The sequence below is a fragment of the Homo sapiens genome, chromosome 17, assembly GCF_000001405.40.
Source record: "Homo sapiens chromosome 17, GRCh38.p14 Primary Assembly".
Lineage (NCBI taxonomy): Eukaryota > Metazoa > Chordata > Mammalia > Primates > Hominidae > Homo > Homo sapiens.
In genome coordinates, this window is record NC_000017.11 from 30,932,158 (window position 1) to 30,950,745 (window position 18,588).

The 18,588-nt window shown below is 46.8% G+C and overlaps 1 protein-coding gene across 9 annotated transcripts in view, besides 1 other annotated feature; it reads left to right on the forward strand.

The window, feature by feature from the left end:
* ADAP2 (ArfGAP with dual PH domains 2) overlaps positions 1–18,588 on the forward strand; it is a 37,378-nt gene that overhangs the window by 10,213 nt on the left and 8,577 nt on the right. For all 9 annotated transcript variants that reach the window (NR_144488.2, NM_001346712.2, XM_024450834.2 and 6 more), the window contains 3 exons: positions 2,028–2,140; positions 12,750–12,896; positions 17,130–17,213. Coding sequence is in view for 8 of the 9 variants with exons in the window: in NM_001346712.2 (NP_001333641.1) it covers positions 2,028–2,140; positions 12,750–12,896; positions 17,130–17,213 (344 nt within the window). In the remaining variant the exon portion in view is untranslated. The remainder of the gene's footprint in view (positions 1–2,027; positions 2,141–12,749; positions 12,897–17,129; positions 17,214–18,588) is intronic.
* Positions 6,125–6,325: a silencer, noted in NCBI's record as "peak2796 fragment used in MPRA reporter construct". NCBI's record gives its function as "represses an SCP1 promoter by STARR-seq MPRAs in K562 erythroleukemia cells {active_cell/tissue: K562}" and the evidence as "EXISTENCE:reporter gene assay evidence [ECO:0000049][PMID:32103011]".

Here is an 18,588-nt window from a genome sequence, read left to right on the forward strand (position 1 = left end):
AGCAGCAGAGAAGCTCAGAGCTTCTATGGTCTTTGTCTCAGGTCTTTGCAGGGTCACAAGTGTGTACAGACTCTTTTTTTTTTTTTTTTTTTTGAGACAGGGTCTTACTCTGTTGTCCAGCCTGGAGTGCAGTGGCACTATCACAGCTCACTGCAGCTTCAATCTCCCGGGCTCACATGATCCTCCCACCTCAGCCTCCCAACTAGCTGGGACTACAGGCACATGCCACCATACCTGGCTAATTTTAGTGGCTTTTATTTTTTTATTTTTATTTTTTGTAGAGATGGGGTTTCACCATGTTGCCCAGGCTGGTCTTGAACTCCTGAACTCAAGTGATCCTTTCGCTTTGGCCTCCCAAAGTGCTGAGATTACAGGCATGAGCCACTGTGCCCAGCCAGACTCTTTTTCTTTTTCTTCTTCTTCTTTTTTTTTTTTTTGAGACAGAGTCTTGCTCTTGTTGCCCAGGGTGGAGTGCAGTAGCATGATCTCAGCTCAGTGCAGCCTCTGCCTCCTGGGTTCCAGCGATTCTCCTGCCTCAGCCTCCTGAGTAGCTGGGATTACAGCATCATGCTTGGCTAATTTTTGTATTTTTAGTAAAGACGGGGTTTTACCATGTTGGCCAGGCTGGTCTCGAACTCCTGACCTCATGATCTGCCCACCTTAGCCTCCCAAAGTTCTGGGACTACAGGCATGAGCCACCGCGCCCAGCATCAAACACTTAATGTAAATTGCAGAAAGACTCCTCCACTGGACAGACCAATTAGGAAAAGATATCCCTGCTCCTGGTGAGCTTTATTCCTGGTGCAGCTCAAGACTTGGTGAGGAGGATGGGCTTAAATTCAGCCTCCCTTTCGACCATTGTGCAGGGTACAACCTCTTCTGTGGCCCTGGACCTGTGGCAGTTTCACCCCCACGGTCCTGAGTCCAAGCTGACTCTGACCCAGACAGTAAAGTATAAAAAATCATTCTTAGAGGGCCAGAGGCAGTGCTCAGCTATCCTGGCTACCAGGACCACAAATTATTCTATTTATTTATGTATTTATTTATTGAGTCAGGGTCTCACTCTGTTACCCAGGCTGGAGTGCAATGGCGTGAACTCGGCTCACTGCAACTTCCACATCCCAGGTTCAAGTGATTCTCATGCCTCAGTCTCCCGAGTAGCTGGGATTACAGGCATGCACAACCACACCTGGCTAATGTTTATATTTTTAGGAGAGTCAGGGTTTTGCCATGTTGGCCAGGCTGATCTCAAACTCCTGACTTCAAGTGATCTGTCTGCCTTGGCTTCCCAAGGTGTCAAGATTACAGGTGTGAGCCATTGCACCCAGCCCATAAATTATTCTTCAAACCAGCAGATGCCCGGAGGGAGTCTCACTGTGTCACCCAGGCTGGAGTGCAGTGGCACAATCTCGGCTCGCTGCAACCTCCCCCTCCCGGGTTCAAGTGATTCTCCTGTCTCAGCCTCCTGAGTAGCTGGGATTACAGGCACGCGCCACCATGCCCAGCTAATTTTTGTATTTTTAGTAGAGACGGGGTTTCACCATGTTGGTCAGGCTGGTCTTGAACTCCCGACCTTGTGATCTGCCCGCCTCGGCCTCCCAAAGTGCTGGGATTACAGGCGTGAGCCACTGCGCCCTGCCTTACTTCTAAAGTTTCATTAGGTTGATGTCAGCATGAAGTTGGGCAGGACCATATGTATTTAGTATGTATTTAAGTGTCTTTCAGAATCAGTCCAGTTTCTCAGGACTTTGCCTTCTTAAGGGTCTTCTTATGAGACAGCCTGATACACAGAAAGTCAAGGAAGAAAGGTTTTAGGCAGTGGGAAGTGCCCCTGAAGTGAAAAGACATCACAAAGTTGGCCACAGATGGGATCCTTGTGTTCTGCAGCTGAAATAGGGAAGTCTGAGTGGAGATACTTTGGCAGCAGATGGAAGGCTTATTCCACCCTTGAGAACCTCAGAGGTTCCTGAGCTGCTTGTGATCTTAAGGTCACGTGTGTTCACGCTTTGTCATCCTTGCTGCTTAAGGTAACCGAGAAGGATTCCTGTGGAAGCGAGGAAGGGACAACTCACAGTTTCTGAGAAGGAAGTTTGTACTTCTGGCAAGAGAAGGCCTCCTGAAGTACTTCACAAAGGAACAGGTAAGATGCCAGACCAATGAGAGCAGGTCCCTTCCTGAGCACTCTCACCCGACTAAGGTCTACATTCTAATCAGTGGTGCCCTTTTCTTGTAGATAATCTCAGCCCCTGAGAGTTAGGCACAACATTTGGCTACTTTTCCTTGGCTATACAGTAAATCCAGTCCACCAAAAATCATACTTTCTGTCCACCTAGAATCAGCTTAGATAGGTCCATGTTTAAGCCTTTGATGACCACTTGGTTTTGCTTCATTTATTCATTCACTTAAGAAACATTTATTGAGTACCTACTGTGTGCTAGACATTATTCCAGGCACTGAGGATACAGCAGGGAACTAAACAAAACTCTTGTTCTCAGGGAGCTTTCAGTCTAGTGAAAGGAAAGAGCTCCGTAATCAAAACATCAATATATAATATACCAGGAGGCAATAGTTTTATAAAGTAAAATAGAAGTGGCTGCGCACAGTAGCTCACACCTATAATCCCAGCACTTTAGTAAGAGATTGAGGCAGGGGGATTGCTTGAGTTCAGAAGTTTGAGATCAGCCTGGGCAACATGGTGAAGCCCCATCTCTACAAAAAATACAAAAATTAGCTGGGTCAAGCACATACACCTTTGTATGGTGGCACATGCCTGTAGTCCCAGCTACTAGGGAGTCTGAGGTGGGAGAACTGCTTGAGCATGGGAGGTCGAGGCTGCATTGAGCCGAGATTGTGCCACTGTACTCTAGCATGGGTGACAGAGTGAGACCCTGTCTCAAAAAACAAAACAAAACAAAAACAAAAACAAAAACCGGGCATGGTGGCTCATGCCTGTAATCCCAGCACTTTGGGAGGCCAAGGCAGGTGGATCACTTGAGGTCGGGAGTTTGAGACCAGCCTGACCAACATGGAGAAACCCCATCTCTACTAAAAAAATATAAAATTAGCTGGGCGTGGTGGTGCATGCCTGTAATCCCAGCTACTCGGGAGACTGAGGCAGGAGTATCACTTGAACCTGGGAGGTGGAGGTTGTGGTGAGCTGAGATCGTGCCATTGCACTCCAGCCTGGGCAACAAGAGTGAAACTCCGTCTCAAGAAAAAAAGAAGTAAAATAGCGGAGAGTGAGAAGATAGACAACAATGAGAGTGTGTTAGGGAGTCAGGGAGTGCTGCTGCAGAGTGATCAGGGAAGGCCTCTCTGGTGACATTTGAGCAGATAACTGAACAAATGTGAGCACTGAGTTACATGGCTATGTGGGGGGAAGAATAGAAGAAAGGGGAGGAACAGTATGTGCAGAAGCCCTGAGCACAGGTATGGTCAAACACATACACCTTTGTACCGATTTGAGAAAGATGATCCCTTTAAGAGGGTGCAGCCCCTGGGCCCCAGTCTCGAAAATCAGAAGCCTGGTTTGCAGTTACCAGTCAGCTAGGAGCTTTTTATGCAGTGCACAAACGACTTAACCATAAGCTGCAACCCTGGCCCTGAGCTAGAAGTGTGTTTGGTGGGTGTAGGGCATCAAGGAGGGCAGAGCGACTTGTGCAGAGTGAGCAAGGAAAAGTGTGGAGGGAGATGAAGTCACATGGTGGAGGGCCTTGTAGGTCATAGCAAGACTTGGGATTTCTTTTGGTAACAGTTTATTGAGATACAATTCACATACCATATAATTCACCCATTAAAAGTATGCAGTCAATTGGCTTTTAGTGTATTCACAGAGTAGCACAACTATCACCACAATTCAGTTAAAAACTTTAAACACCTTATCCCTTAGCTGTAATCCCCCACCCCACCCCACCACTAGCCCTAGGCAACCAACAACTTACTTTCTGTCTCTATGGATTTGCCTAATCTGGTTATTTTTATTTTATTTTACTATTTTATCTTATTTATTTTTTTAGAGACAGAGTCTTCCTCTGTTGGCCAGGCTGGAGTGCAGTGGTGCAATCATAGCTCACTGCAACCTTAAATTACTGGCCTCAAGCACTCCTCCTGCTCCGGTCTCTCAAAGCACTGGGATTGCAGATGCATACCACTCCACCCAGCTAATTTTTATTTACTTATTTATTTTTGTAGAGATAGGGTTTTGCTTTGTTGTCTACGCTGTTCTCAAACTCCTGGCTTCAAGCAATCCTCTGCCTCAGCCTCCCAAAGTACTAGGATTATAGATGTGAGCCACTACGCCAGGCCCATATCTGTCTTTTTTATAATAGCCGTCTTCATGGGTATGAAGTCGTATCTCATTGTGGTTTTGATTGGCGTTTCCCACATGGCAAATGATGTTGAGCATCTTTTTAATGTGCTTATTGGCCATTTGTATATCTTATTTGTAGAAATGTCTATTCAGATCCTTTCCCATATTGGCCGGGCGCGGTGGCTCACGCCTGTAATCCCAGCACTTTGGGAGGCCGAGGTGGGCAGATCAGGAGTTCAGGAGATGGAGACCATCTTGGCTAACACAGATACTTTCCCCATATTTTAATTAGGTTATTTGTCTTTTTATTATTAAGTTGTAATAGTTCTGTATATATTCTAGATACAAGTCACTTATACATGTAGGATTTGCAAAAATTTGAGCTTTTGGATTTTACTGAGTGAGATGGGAAGAAATTGGAGGATTTTGAGCTGAGAAGTGATATTATTTGACTTAAGTTTTTGATTGATTGATTGATTTGAGATGGAGGCTCACTCTGTCACCTAGGCTGGAGTGCAGTGGCGTGATCTCGGCTCACTGCAACCTCTGCCTCCCAGGTTCAAGCAATTCTTTGCCTCAGTCTCTCGAGTAGCTGGGATTACAGGCGCGCACCACCATGCCTGGCTAGTTTTTGTATTTTTAGTAGACAGGGTTCCACCATCTTGGCCAGGCTGGTCTTGAATTTCCGACCTCGTGATCCACCCACCTCACCCTCCCAAAGTGCTGGGATTACAGGCGTGAGCCACCGCGCCCGGCCTATTTATTTATTTTTTGAGATGGGATTTCACTCTATTGCTCAGGTTGAAGTGCAATGGTGTGATCTCGGCTCACTGCAACCTCCACCTCCCGGGTTCAAGTGATTCCCCTGCCTCAGCCTCCCCAGTAGCTGGGACTACAGGCGTGCACCACCACACCCGGCTAATTTTTGTATTTTTAGTAGAGACAGGGTTTCACCATGTTGACCAGGCTGATTTAGAACTCCTAACCTCATGTGATCTGCCCACCTCAGCCTCCCAAAATGCTGGGATTATAGGCATGAGCCACTGCGCCCAGCCTGACTTAAGCTTTTAAAAAGCAGCACGCTGGCTGCTGCTAGGGTGAGTAGGGAGGAAGGAGGCCAGAGCAGAGGCAGAGAAATTAGTCAGGAAGCTGTTGCAATAACCCAAGTGAAGAAGAATGGTGGATCCGACCAGGATGGTTAGAAGTGGTCAGATTCTGGATATATTTTGGAAGTAGAGGCAATAGAATTTATTGAAGGATTGGATGTGGGGTGTGAGAGTAAGAGGAATCAAGGATGATTCCCAGATTTTTGCTCTATAAAACTACAAGAATAGATTTGCTATTTACTAAGGTGGCAAAGACTTAGACCCCTAAGGGGATGCTCAAAAGTCCTTTTTATTTTGAGATGCCTATGAGTCATCCAGTAGAGACATGGGGAAAGAAGTTGGATGTATGTTTCCTGAATTCTAAACCCAAGTGGCAGAAGTTGGATGTCTGATTTGGAGGCTTGGAGAGAGTTTGGAACTGGAGTCGTCAGCATGTAGACTGGTTTAGTAATGGGACTGGCTAGGATCACCTAAGCAGGAAAAAGGTGTTCAAGGACTGAGTATTTTGGTTATGTGTTGCTGAGTAACAAACCATCCTAAAACTTAATGGCTTAAAATATCAATTTACTATTTCTCACAATCCTATGGGTCAGGAATTTGAGGAGGCCTCGGCTGTTCTGGTGTACTCCATGTGGCATCAGCTGGGCTACTCTGCTGCCCTTAGCTGGCCAGAGACCCAAAGAAGCTTTCACTCATGTCTGGTGCCTTGGTGTACTCTATATGGGGGCTCTGTCTTTCTCATTCAGGAGTCTAGCTTAAGCTTTCTTGTGGCTTGGCTGCTGACTTCCCTAAACAAAAGCAAATGCTACCAGACCTCTGGAAGGCTAACCAGGAGCTGCATTCTGTTGGTCAAAGCAAGTCATGCAACAAGCCCTGATTCAAGGGGAGGGGAAATAGATTCAACCTCTTCATGGATAGAGGGTCACGTATACACTGGGAGGGAAAGACTGGGTGAGCGCCATCTTTGGAGACCATCTACCCCATTGAGCCCTGGGGCATTCCAGTATTTAAAGGACAGAAAGATAAGAAGTTTTCAGCAAAGAGAATGTGAAATTGTGGCCAACAAAGTAAGAGAAGGATAAGCTCTGAGCACTTTAGCCTTCACCTTACTCTATTTCCTATATGTAGAATTATTATATATTCCCCCTGTTGCTTTTCTAGGCAGACCAGAGCAATGCTAAAAGGTCTGTCTATGGGGAGGAGAAGGGAGGATGAAGAGAAGTGGGTTAAAGGGTACAAACATTGTAAGATGCAAGGAATAAATTCAATATTTGATACCAGAGTGGGGTAACTATGCTTAACAAAAATACTCTGGTGACCAACACCCTAAATATCCTGGCTTGATCACTACACATTATATACATGTAGCGAAATTTCACATGTACCCCATAAATTTGTATAAATAATAATATAAAAGGTCTGTCCAATGTGGCCACAGTCTGGGACCAAGTAAAAAGTGTTAAGGGATGAAGAATCTTTACCCTCCAAGTTAGAGGAAGAATTTTTTCCCAGTCTTCAATGTAAAGCACTGAAAAATGTGGCTTTTTCAACATTTTTGCTGAAATGGTACAAAAGGCCGGAAGAGAAAGCGCTACTGCAGTTAGGAAAGGTCACCAAACCCCAGCAGCTGCTGCGAGTTGGTCTCTCGGACAGGGCCTCATCATTGGTTGAAAAAAGTTGATCTGTTTTTCAGTCCTACGCCAGTTCAGTCTAGAATAGTCCAAAAATAGAATGGGCTCCCTATGTTCTTTTTTATTTATTTCCCAAAGTGGATATTTTAAAATCATAAAGGTAACTAATTTTTAGGTAAAACTTTTGGGTAATACAAAAAAGGAAATGAAGTATAAAGAAAGTGAAACTGAAAAAAAAAAAAAAAAGCCCCAAGCTCTATACAAAGCACTTCAAAAAGTTCTTGGAGGCCAGGCTCGGAGGCTCACACCTGAAATCCCAGCACTTTGGGAGGCCGAGGCAGGCAGATCACGAGGTCAGGAGATTGAGACCATCTTGGCTAACACGGTGAAATCCCGTCTCTACTAAAAATACAAAAACTTAGCTGGGCGTGGTGGCAGGCGCCTGTAGTCGCAGATACTCAGGAGGCTGAGGCAGGAGAATGGCCCGAACCTGGGAGGCGGAGCTTGCAGTGAGCCGAGATGGCGCCACTGCACTCCAGCCTGGGCGAAAGAGCAAAATTCCATTTCCAAAAAAAAAAAAAAAAAAGGTATTGGACAAATGAGATTAAAATTAAAGATATAAACTTTATTTCTCAACATAAGCTCCATCAAGGTCAAGACACTTTTATAAGTGATGACACCAGCCATTTAGTCCATCCCCTAGCAATTGAGGGTCCTGGGAATTTAACCATGCCAATGCAGTCTTTTTTACATTTTGTTTTTTTATGCTGTTTTCTGAGACAGGGTCTTGCTCTTTCACCAAGGCTGGAGTACAGTGGTGCAATTCTAGCTCACTGCAGCCACAACCTCCCAGGCTCAAGCGCTCCTTCCACCTCAGCCTCCCGAGTAGCTGAGACTTCAGGCACACACCACCATGCCTGGCTAATTTTTGTATTTTTTGGCAACGACAGGATTTCATCATGTTGCCCAGGTTGGTCTTGAACTCCTGAACTCAACCGATCTACCAGCCTCAGTCTCCCAAAGTGCTAGGATAACAGACATAAGTCACCACGCCTGGCCTTTTTTTTTACACTATTAACTGAAGAAAGATGGGTACCCTTTACAGATTTTTTTTTTTTCGAGATGGAGTCTCGCTTCATCGCCCAGGCTGGAGTACAGTGGCACGATCTCGGCTCACTGCAACCTTCGCCTCCCAGGTTCAAGTGATTGTCCTGCCTCAGCCTCCCCAGGAGCTGGGATTACAGGCGTTGGCCACCATGCTGGGCTAATTTTTGTATTTTTAGTAGAGACGGGGTTTCACCATGTTGGCCAGGCTGGTCTCGAACTCCTGACCTCAAGTGATTCGCCCGCCTTGGTCTCTGAAAGTGCTGGGATTACAGGCGTGAGCCACCATGCCCGGCCTCCTTTACAGATTTTTTAAGATTAGAAAACAAAAAGAAGTTAGAAGGAGCCGAATTTGGACTGTAAGATGATGCATAATCACTTCCCATTGAAACTCTCACAAAATTGCCCTTGTTTGATGAGAGAAATGTAGTTGAAGCATTGTCCTGGGGGAGAAGGACTCTCTGGTGAAGTTTTCTCAGATGTTTTTCTGCTGAAGCTTTGGCTAACTTTCTCAAAACACTCTCATAATGAGCAGATGTTATTGTTCTTTGGCCCTCTAGAAAGTCAACAAGCAAAATACCTTGAGCATCTCCCAGAAAACTTTACCATGGCCTTTGTTCTTGACTGGTCTGCTTTTGCTATGACAGGACCACTTCAACCTCTCGGTAGCCATTGCTTTGATTATGCTTTGTCTTCAGGATCATACTGGTAAAGCCATGTTTCATCTCCTGTTACAGTTCTTCAAAGAACTGCCTCAGGATCTTGATCTCACTTGTTTAAAATTTCCATTGAAAGCTCTGCTCTTGTCTGCAACTGATCTGGGTGCAATGGCATTGGTACCCATTGAGTGGAAAGTTTGCCCAGCTTTAATTTTTCAGTCAGATTTGTGTGAGCTGCACCAATTGAGGTATCTGTGGTGTTAGCTATTGTTTGTGCTGTTAATTATTGCTTCTCTTCAATTAGGGCATGAACAAGATGATTTTTTTCATTGTAAATTGATGTAGATGGTCTGCTGCTGCAGGCGCCATCTTCAACATCATCTTGTCCCTCCTTAACAAGTTATCCATTTGTAAACTGCTAATTTTGTTGGGGATTTGTCCCCGTAAACTTTTCTGAAAGCACCAGTGATTTCACCATTCTTCCATCCAAGCTTCACCATAAATGTTGATGTTTGTTCTTGCTTCAATTTTAGCAGAATTCATGTTGCTCTGAGAGGGGCTGTTTTCAAGTTGATGTCGTATCCTTCTTAGTGCCTCAAACAAAATCCCACTCAGACATGTTATAACAAGTTAGTATGAGTTTATTTTGGTGCAAAACAATTTGAAATCCATGCATAGCTTTTTCATACTATGTGTTTTCCATGAACTTTTCTAAGTCACCTTGTATAAGAGTATTATATGATCTCATTTATATGAAATTTTAGAACAGGCAAAACTGTACTGATAGAAGACAAATAAGTGGTTATCTGGTGTTGGAATGGGGTAGAGATTCTGCGAAGGGGGATGAGTGAAGTCTTTTGGGGTGACATTTAGGATGATAAGTAATGTTTTATATCTTGATTGTTGTGGTTACATGGGTATATACATTTGTCAAAAATCAAACTATTTTTTTTTTTTCGAGATGGAGTCTTGCTCTGTCACCAGGCTGGAGTGCAGTGGTGCGATCTTGGCTCACTGCAGCCTCCGCCTCCTGGGGTCAAGCGATTCTCCTTCCTCACCCTCACTAGTAGCTGGGACTACAGGTGTGTACCACCACTCCCAGCTAATTTTTGTATTTTTAGTAGAGACAGGATTTCACCATGTTGGCCAGGATGGTCTCGATCTCTCAACCTCGTGATCCACCTGCCTCGGCCTCCCAAAGTGCTGGGATAACAGGTGTGAGCCACAGTGCCCGGCCCAAACTTAATACGGGTACACTTTATTGTTTCTAAACTACACCTCAATAAATGTTGATTAAGTGAAAATTAACAATGAGATACAATTCCATACCCATCATATTGGCAAAAATTTTGTAATCTGGTAGTGTCAAGTGTTGGTGAGTATATGGGGAAAGGGGAACTATTCTATTTCATTGATGGAAGTAAATATTGGTACAATCACTGTTGAGCCATTCAGCAGAATAATTTGGCAGTCTCTAGTAAGTGAAGATGTATATAACTGTGATCCAGCAATTCCATTTCTAAGCATACGCTGTGACCTACAGATGCACTCACATATGTGTACCAGATGCACAAACTGACTGCAACATTACTTATGATAGCAAAAAATCAGGAACAATCTCAATATATATATCGGAACAATCTATTAACAGAAAATAGATTGATAACTTTTGGTATAGTCATTTACAAGAGCAAACTAGACTGGTGTATCTCAGCATGGGTAGACCTCAAAAATATAATGTTGAAAGCAAAAAGAACCTCATTAAAATGGGCAAAAGATGTGTACAGACACTTCTCAAAGAAGACATACACGTGGCCAACAAGCAAATGAAAAAATGCTCAACATCACTAATCAGAGAAATGTAAGTCAAAACCACAATGAGATACCATCTATACCAGTCAGAATGACTGTTATCAAAAAGTAAAAAAGTAACAGATACTGGTGAGGTTGTGGAGAAAAGGGAATGTTTACACACTTGTGGCAGGAATGTAAATTAGTTCAGCCACGGTAGAAAGCAGTTTGGAGATTTCTCAAAGAACTTAAAACAGAACTAACATTTGACCCAGCAATCCCATTACTGGGTATATACCCAAAGCAATAGAAATAATTCTACTATAGGCCGGATGCAGTGGCTCACGCCTGTAATCCCAGCACTTTGGAAGGCAGAGGCCGGCGGATCACCTGAGGTCGGGAGTTCGAGATCAGCCTGACCAACATGGAGAAACCCTGTCTCTACTAAAAATACAAAATTAGCCAGGCGTGGTGGCGTATCCCTGTAATCCCAGCAACTTGGGAGGCTGAGGCAGAAGAATCGCTTGAACCCAGGAGGTGGAGGTTGCAGTGAGCTGAGATCACTCCATTGTACTCCAGCCTGGGCAACAAGAGTGAAACTCAGTCTGAAAAAAAAAAAGGAAAGAAAGAAAAGAAAAAAGAAAGAATTCTACTGTAAAGACACATGTACATGTATTTTCATCGCAGCACTATTTACAATAGCAAAAACATGGAATCGGCCCAGATGCCCATCAATGGTGGACTGGATAATGGAAATGTGGTACATAAACATCATAGAATACTACACAGCCATAAAAAAGAATGAGATTGGCTGGGCACAGTGGCTCATGCTTGTAATCCCAGAACTTTGGGAGGCCGAGGCAGGTGGATCACGAGGTCAGGAGTTCAAGAACAGCCTGACCAACATGGTCAAACCCCATCTCTACTAAAAATACAAAAATTAGCCAGGCATGGCGGCACGTGTCTGTAATCCCAGCTACTCAGGAGGCTGAGGCAGGAGAATGGTTAGAATCTGGGAGGCAGAGGTTGCAGTGACCTCAGATCACGCCATTGCACTTCAGCCTGGACAACAGAGCAAGACTCTATCTCAAAAATAAATAAATAAATAAATAAATAAATAAATAAATAAATAAATAAATAAGAACCAGATTGGCCGGGGGCGGTGGCTCATGCCTGTAATCCCAGCACTTTGGGAGGCCGAGGCGGGCAGATCACCTGAGGTCAGGAGTTTGAGACCAGCCCGGCTAACATGGTGAAACCCCGTTTCTACTAAAAATACAAAAAATTAGCTGGGTGTGGTGGCACACGTCTGTAATCCCAGCTACTCGAGAGGCTGAGGCAGGAGAATCGCTTGAACCTGGGAGGCGGAGTTTGCAGTGAGCCGAGATCACGCCGTTGCACTCCAGCTGGGCAGCAAGAGCAAAACAAAACAAAAATAAAAACAAAGAAAAGAATGAGATCATGTTCTCTCAGCAACGTGGATTGATCTGGAGAACATTATCTTAAGTAACTAACAAAGGAACAGAAAACCAAATGTTCTAACATATAAATGGAAGCTAAACATTGAGTACACATGGACACAAAGAAGGGAACGATAGGCTGGGCTCAGTGGCTCATGCCTATAATCCCAGCACTTTGGTAGGCCAAGGCAGGTGGATCACCTGAGGTCAGGAGTTCATGAGCAGCCTGGCCAACATAGCGAAACTCTGTCTCTACTTAAAAATACAAAAATTAGCCAGGTGTGGTGGCTAGAGTGCAGTGGCACGATCTCAGCTCACTGCAACCTCCACCTCCCAGGTTCAAACCACTCTCCTGCCTCAGTCTTCCGAGTTGTTGGGATTACAGGTGTCTACCACCACGCCCAGCTAATTTTTGTATTTTTAGTAGAGACGGGGTTTTACCAAGTTGGCCAGGCTGGTTTCAAACTCCTGACCATAGGTGATCCACCCACCTCAGCCTCCCAAAGTGCTGGGATTACAGGCGTAAGCCACTGCGTCCGGCCAGTATCTGAATTTCGATATGAGAGCAAGAACATTTAAAACCCATATATTTACAGATTGATGCTTGTTTGCATGAAGGCCTTGGTGAAGGTTGACCAGAAGTCACCCTGTGGACTGTCAGCGTCTTTCTTTCTCTTTCTCTCTTTCAGGGTAAAAGCCCCAAAGCTGTCATCAGCATTAAGGACTTGAATGCCACCTTCCAGACAGAGAAGATAGGGCACCCCCATGGGCTGCAGATCACCTACAGGAGAGATGGCCACACCAGGAACCTGTTTGTGTATCATGAAAGTGGGAAGGTGAGATGCCTGGAGTTGCCACCTCCGCCTCCAGCTCGCACCCCAGGACTTGGCAGGTGCAGCTCACCACCTCCCCTGCTCACTGGTGCTGTGCTCAGCTGCCTCTTGAGATTTTCTGCTACCATTTGCCTTAATCTATCATTGCCTCCCAGTCTGAGATAAAGATATGAGGAGGGCAGGGTGAGATCAGGGAGAGGAACCTGGCAAGTACCATGGCTATATCTGGACAGTGCACAGCCACCAATGAAAGTCCAGTTACAGAAGGGACTATGCCCAGGGATGCAAAGCCAGGTAGGGCCAGAGGTTCTGAATACGGGGGAGGAACTGATGGACAGTCAGGCAGCAGTGCACCCCGGGACCCTGCTTCTCAACATGTGGTCCTGGCCCAACAGCATTGGCATCACCCAGGAGCTCAAGGCTGAGCATGGTAGCTCCTGCCTGTAATCCCAGAACTTTGGGAAGCCAAGGCAGGTGGATCACTTGAACCCAGGAGTTCGAGACCAGCCTGGTAGCATAGTAAGACCCCCATCTTTACCCAAAAATACCTCCAAAATTAGCTAAGCATGGTGGCATGCACCTGTAGTCCCAACTACTTGGGAGGCTGAGGTGAGAGGATCGCTTGAGCCTGGGAGGTCGAGGCTGCAGTGAGCCATGATCATGCCACTGCACTCCAAGCCTGGGTGACAGAGCAGGACCCTGTCTCAAAAAACAAAACAAAACAAAACAAACCAGAAAGAAAGAAAGAAAAATAGAGTCTGAGGCCCACCCTGGAGCTACCAAATTAGAAACTGCATTAAAAAAAAAAAAAAAAAAGAAGAGGCCGGGCGCGGTGGCTCACGCCTGTAATCCCAGCACTTTGGGAGGCCGAGGCAGGCGGATCACGAGGTCAGGAGATCGAGACCATGCTGTCTAACACGGTGAAACCCCGTCTCTACTAAAAATACAAAAAAAATTGGCCGGGCATGGTGGCAGGTGCCTGTAGTCCCAGCTACTCAGGAGGCGGAGGCAGGAGAATGGCGTGAACCCAGGAGGCAGAGCTTGCAGTGAGCCGAGATGGCGCCACTGCACTCCAGCCTGGGTGACAGAGTAAGACTCCACCTCAAAAAAACAAAAAAAACAAAAAAACTGCATTGTAACGGGATCCCAGGTGAGTCTTGTGCACATTAAAGTTTGAGAAGCACTATTTTTTTTCCTTTGGAGATGGAATCTTGCTCTATTGCCCAGACTGGAGTGCAGTGGCGTGATCTCGGCTCACTGCAACCTCCACCTTCAGGGTTCAAGCGATCCTCTTGCCTCAGCCTCCCGAGTGGCTGAGATCACACCCAGCTAATTTTTTTGTATTTTTAGTAGACACAGAGTTTCACTATGTTGGCCAGGCTGGTCTTGAATTCCTGACCTCAAGTGATCTGCCCACCTTGGCCTCCCAAAGTGCTGGGATTACAGGGGTGAGCTACTGCGCCCGGCTGAGAAGCACTATTTAATAGTCCAGGAAATCTGCCCAGTCAGAGATGAATAAGCCAATATAACAGAATAAGCTGGGTCAGGTCCTGAGCAGGGTCACATAACTAGGCAGGGGACAGAGATGCTGAGTGGGGGTGGATGAAGGTGGGTGCTGACATTTTGTGACCATCTATTAACTCCCCTGGGCACTGCTTTTGGTGATTGCTGTCCATCATTTCTTAATCCTGAAAACAAGCCCCACATTATTGAGTCACGGACATGTTAGTAACTTGCTCAGGGTCACAGCCCTGCACCCACTTTACCTGCCATGTGCCTCTGCTGTAGGAAGGACACTTGGCAGCAGGAGCCAGGAACCAGATGCAGGGACTAGACCTTCCTAAGGGGCCCCTAGCACCATGGCCCTAGCCCCCTCTCCATGCCAATCACTGCCATAAGGACTTTTACTGAGGCACCCAAGGTCTCTGGCACTTAGGATACCCAGCTCCCTCCTATCTGCCCAGTATGGTGCATCTGACAACCTGGGTCTGGCCATTCTTCTCTTTTGCTTGATGCCCCAGCCTGTCTGTTAGATGGGCATAAATGAGGGCTCCAGATTCCTGCCTGCAGGAGTCAGGGGGTGATTTAAAAGCTAAATGGACAGGCATAAGGGATGGGGAGGGGGCTGTGGCAAACAGGAAAACCTGCATGGAGGATTGAAACAAACAAAACTTTAGGAGCAAACAGACATGTATGCAGGTTGGATTTGGCACCAGGATCACCAGATTATGACTGGAGAGACCTTCCAAGGTGAAGGCCTAGGTGTGTCTTTTCTGGACTGGCCCCATTCCCTTAGTGTCTGAGACCTAAGGTTTTTTTTTGAGACAGAGTCTCGCTCTGTCACCCAGACTGGAGTGCAGTGGTGCAATCTCGGCTCACTGCAACCTCCACCTCCCAGGTTAAAGCAATTCTCCAGCCTCAGCCTCTTGAGTAGCTGAGATTACAGGCATGTACCACCATACCCGGCTAATTTTGTATTTTTAGTAGAGATGGGGTTTCACCATGTTGGTCAGGCTGGTCTCAAATTCCTGACCTCAGGTGATCCACCCGCCTCGGCCTCCCAGAGTGTTGGGATTACAGGCGTGAGCCACTGCACCTGGCCAGAGGGTCCTTAATGAACCCCAGGACAAGAGAGCACAGATCCCTGGAATACTAGGCCTGTGTGCTTCGCCTATGAGAGAGAAAGAGAAATGGTTTCATTCCTTTTAAACCATATTCAGATGACTTTCTCAATCACCACATTATATCAAAGTCACAAACTACCACTATTTGAACAAGCCTTTAGCCTCCCAATTCCAAATTCCTGGGAGAAGGAATCTGATAAGCCCAGTCCAGCCTCTGTGTTGCTCCAGGCCTGGTCCAGTTGCTGTGGTTAAGCAGGGGCAGGATCACAGCAGTAAATGGGGCTGCAACTGGGGTTGGGTGAAGATAGGCGGGGTAGTTCTCACAGAAGCAGGGCTTGGGCTGAGCAAGCACCAAAAATCTATCTATTACAACATCAAAACTAACCTGCGGGATAAGTGGAATGTTTTGCGTAAAAGGTGTGTGTGGGATGGAGCGGGCTAAGCAGAATGTCCCGAGAGGAAGGAACAGTAGGTGTTGGGAGAATTGCAAATAGTTTTGCATGGAAGGAGCTCAGACAGCAAAATCATAGTAAAGAACTTAAGACTTTTTTTTCTGAGGGTAGTAGACAGGACTCCAAGCCAGACTGATTAGATTTGTAATTAGAAAATCACTCTGGCTACAGGCTGGGCGCTGTGGCTCACGCCTGTAATCCCAGCACTTTGGGAGGCCGAGGCGGGCAGATCACGAGACCATCCTGGCTAACGTGGTGAAACCCTGTCACTACTAAAAATACAAAAAAAAAAAAAATTAGCCGTGTGGTGGTGGGCGCCTGTAGTCCCAGCTACTCGGGAGGCTGAGGCAGGAGAATGGTGTGAACCCAGAAGGCGGAGGTTGCAGTGAGCCAAGATCGCACCACTGCACACTCTAGCCTCGGCGACAGCATGAGACTCCATCTAAAAAAAAATAAATAAAGGAAAATCACTCAGGCTGCCATGAGAGGGCCAGTCAGAGAGCAGCTGATCAAGGCCAGCTAGATACATGGTTGTCTATGTGGGAGATGAAGGTGGCCCAGGCTGCTGAGGGACATGTTCTCTCAGAGTGACAGCAGAAGGGGCCAAGCCAGCTTTGGCCTAAGTTGCCATGAGCATCCTCATTAGAGGAGCATCCCCAGGCATAACTGCTCCCCACCCAAATGCCAATCTTTGACATCTGAGGACAATGATTTCCTAGAGCCTTGCTCCTTAGAGTGCATTCCACTGACTAGCAGCATCATATCACCTGAGAGCGTGTTAGGAATGCAGAGTCTTGGGCCCCATTCCAAACCTACTGGATATGCCTCTGCATTTTAACAAGAGCCTCAGGTGATTTTGCACGCATTAGAAGGTGAAAAGCACTGTCCGAGGCCATTGCAGAACTCCCATGCAGTTCACTCAATCCTTTTCCAGGGCTCTGGGGTTATCCCTGTCAGAGGCTTCCTGCTTGCCCGGGTTAGCCCACGAGGCTCTGACACAATCCTCCCTGGATGCCCCTGAGCCGAGCTGTGGGGTGTGTGCAGGTGCTGAATATATGTGCCCCACACCCAATGCCCAGCTAGCTTCCCGCCACCAGAGGTAGCTTCCCACCCACCCCATCTCACTGCTGTGTGTGTGTCCTGTGCACTTCTCTCCGCAGGAGATAGTGGACTGGTTCAATGCCCTCCGTGCAGCCCGTCTGCAGTACCTAAAAATGGCCTTTCCTGAACTCCCAGAGTCTGAGGTGAGCTAAATGCGGACCCCAATTTCTGAATCTCCTCTTGGCCATCTCCTTCTTTCCCTGTCTGTTGACCTCGAAGACACTCAGAAGCCAGACTAGGGCTGGGCGCGGTGGCTCACGCCTGTAATCCCAGCACTTTGGGAGGCTGAGGCGGGCGGATCACAAGGTCAGGAGATCGAGACCATCCTGGCTAGCACGGTGAAACCCCGTCTCTACTAAAAATACAAAAAAATTAGCCAGGTGTGGTGGCAGGCGCCTGTAGTCCCAGCTACTTGGGAGGCTGAGGCAGGAGAATGGTGTTAACCCGGGAGGCGGAGCTTGCAGTGAGCCCAGATGGCGCCGCTGCACTCCAGCCTGGGTGACAGAGTGAGACTCCGTCTCAAAAAAAAAAAAAAAAAAAAAGAAGAAGAAGCCAGACTAGTTTTGTTTGCAGGCAAGACCTCGAGGTTGAGGGCTGGGCTGCTCAGAGGGAAGCCCAAGGCATTCTCCAGGGGAGCCTGCGGGGGTTACAGCCTCACATACGACAAGGCGGCCTCCCAAAAGCTGGTCAGTGTCTCCCCTTCAGAAGAGTGTCAAGGGGCTCAGCAATTGGTCATCTCTTTCTGAACCCTTCTCCCTCTAAAATGTACAAATGATCCCTAACATACTGCTTACAGAGTGCTTTGAGCCCATTTTGTCTTGTGAAATGGCAGCCAGGCAGGGGTGATTATTTCCATTTCACTGATGAGTTATACAGTCCCAGGAAGGGCAGGTGAATAACCAAAGGTGTGCTTCCCTTTCTAAAATCCCCTCTTTGCCCTGTGATGCTCTGGGCTTGGGAAAGCCTGGGATCCTCTCCATTACAGTTGTAACAGGAGCAGGTATGCCCTTCATGGCCAACATCATGGGGAGCCGAGAACTTCATTTTGATTGTCTCCAGACTTCTGGGGCCTTCATCTCCCTATCTCAGGCTGGGCCAGGGAGACCCGCATGGTGTAGGGCAGAGGATGCTGTCTCGAGCCAGGAAGCCTGGGCTCTCAGGGATGCTCTATTGCTCACTTGCTGTGTGACCCCTGCAGGTCCTGGCACCCCTCTGAGCTTCTATTTCCATATGGGTAAGATGGCGGTTAGTCCAGGTCATCTTCAGGGTCCCTTCCGCCTCTGAGATTCTATGCTCTGGTCCTCTTCAAGAGGCTCCCCTCCAAGAGGATTTTATAAGTGATGGGGCTGGAAAACCATTTTAATGCTGGGATTTTCTTAATCTCAACCATTAGAGTTTCCTTGAAAGCCTAAATGCTCCTTAATTCCAAGGTTTGTAGGGAGCCAGTTGTCTGGAATAGGGTCCCCTCCAGGCCCAGGGATGTGCTGAGATGGCAGCTCTCTGGGAGCAATTCCAGCA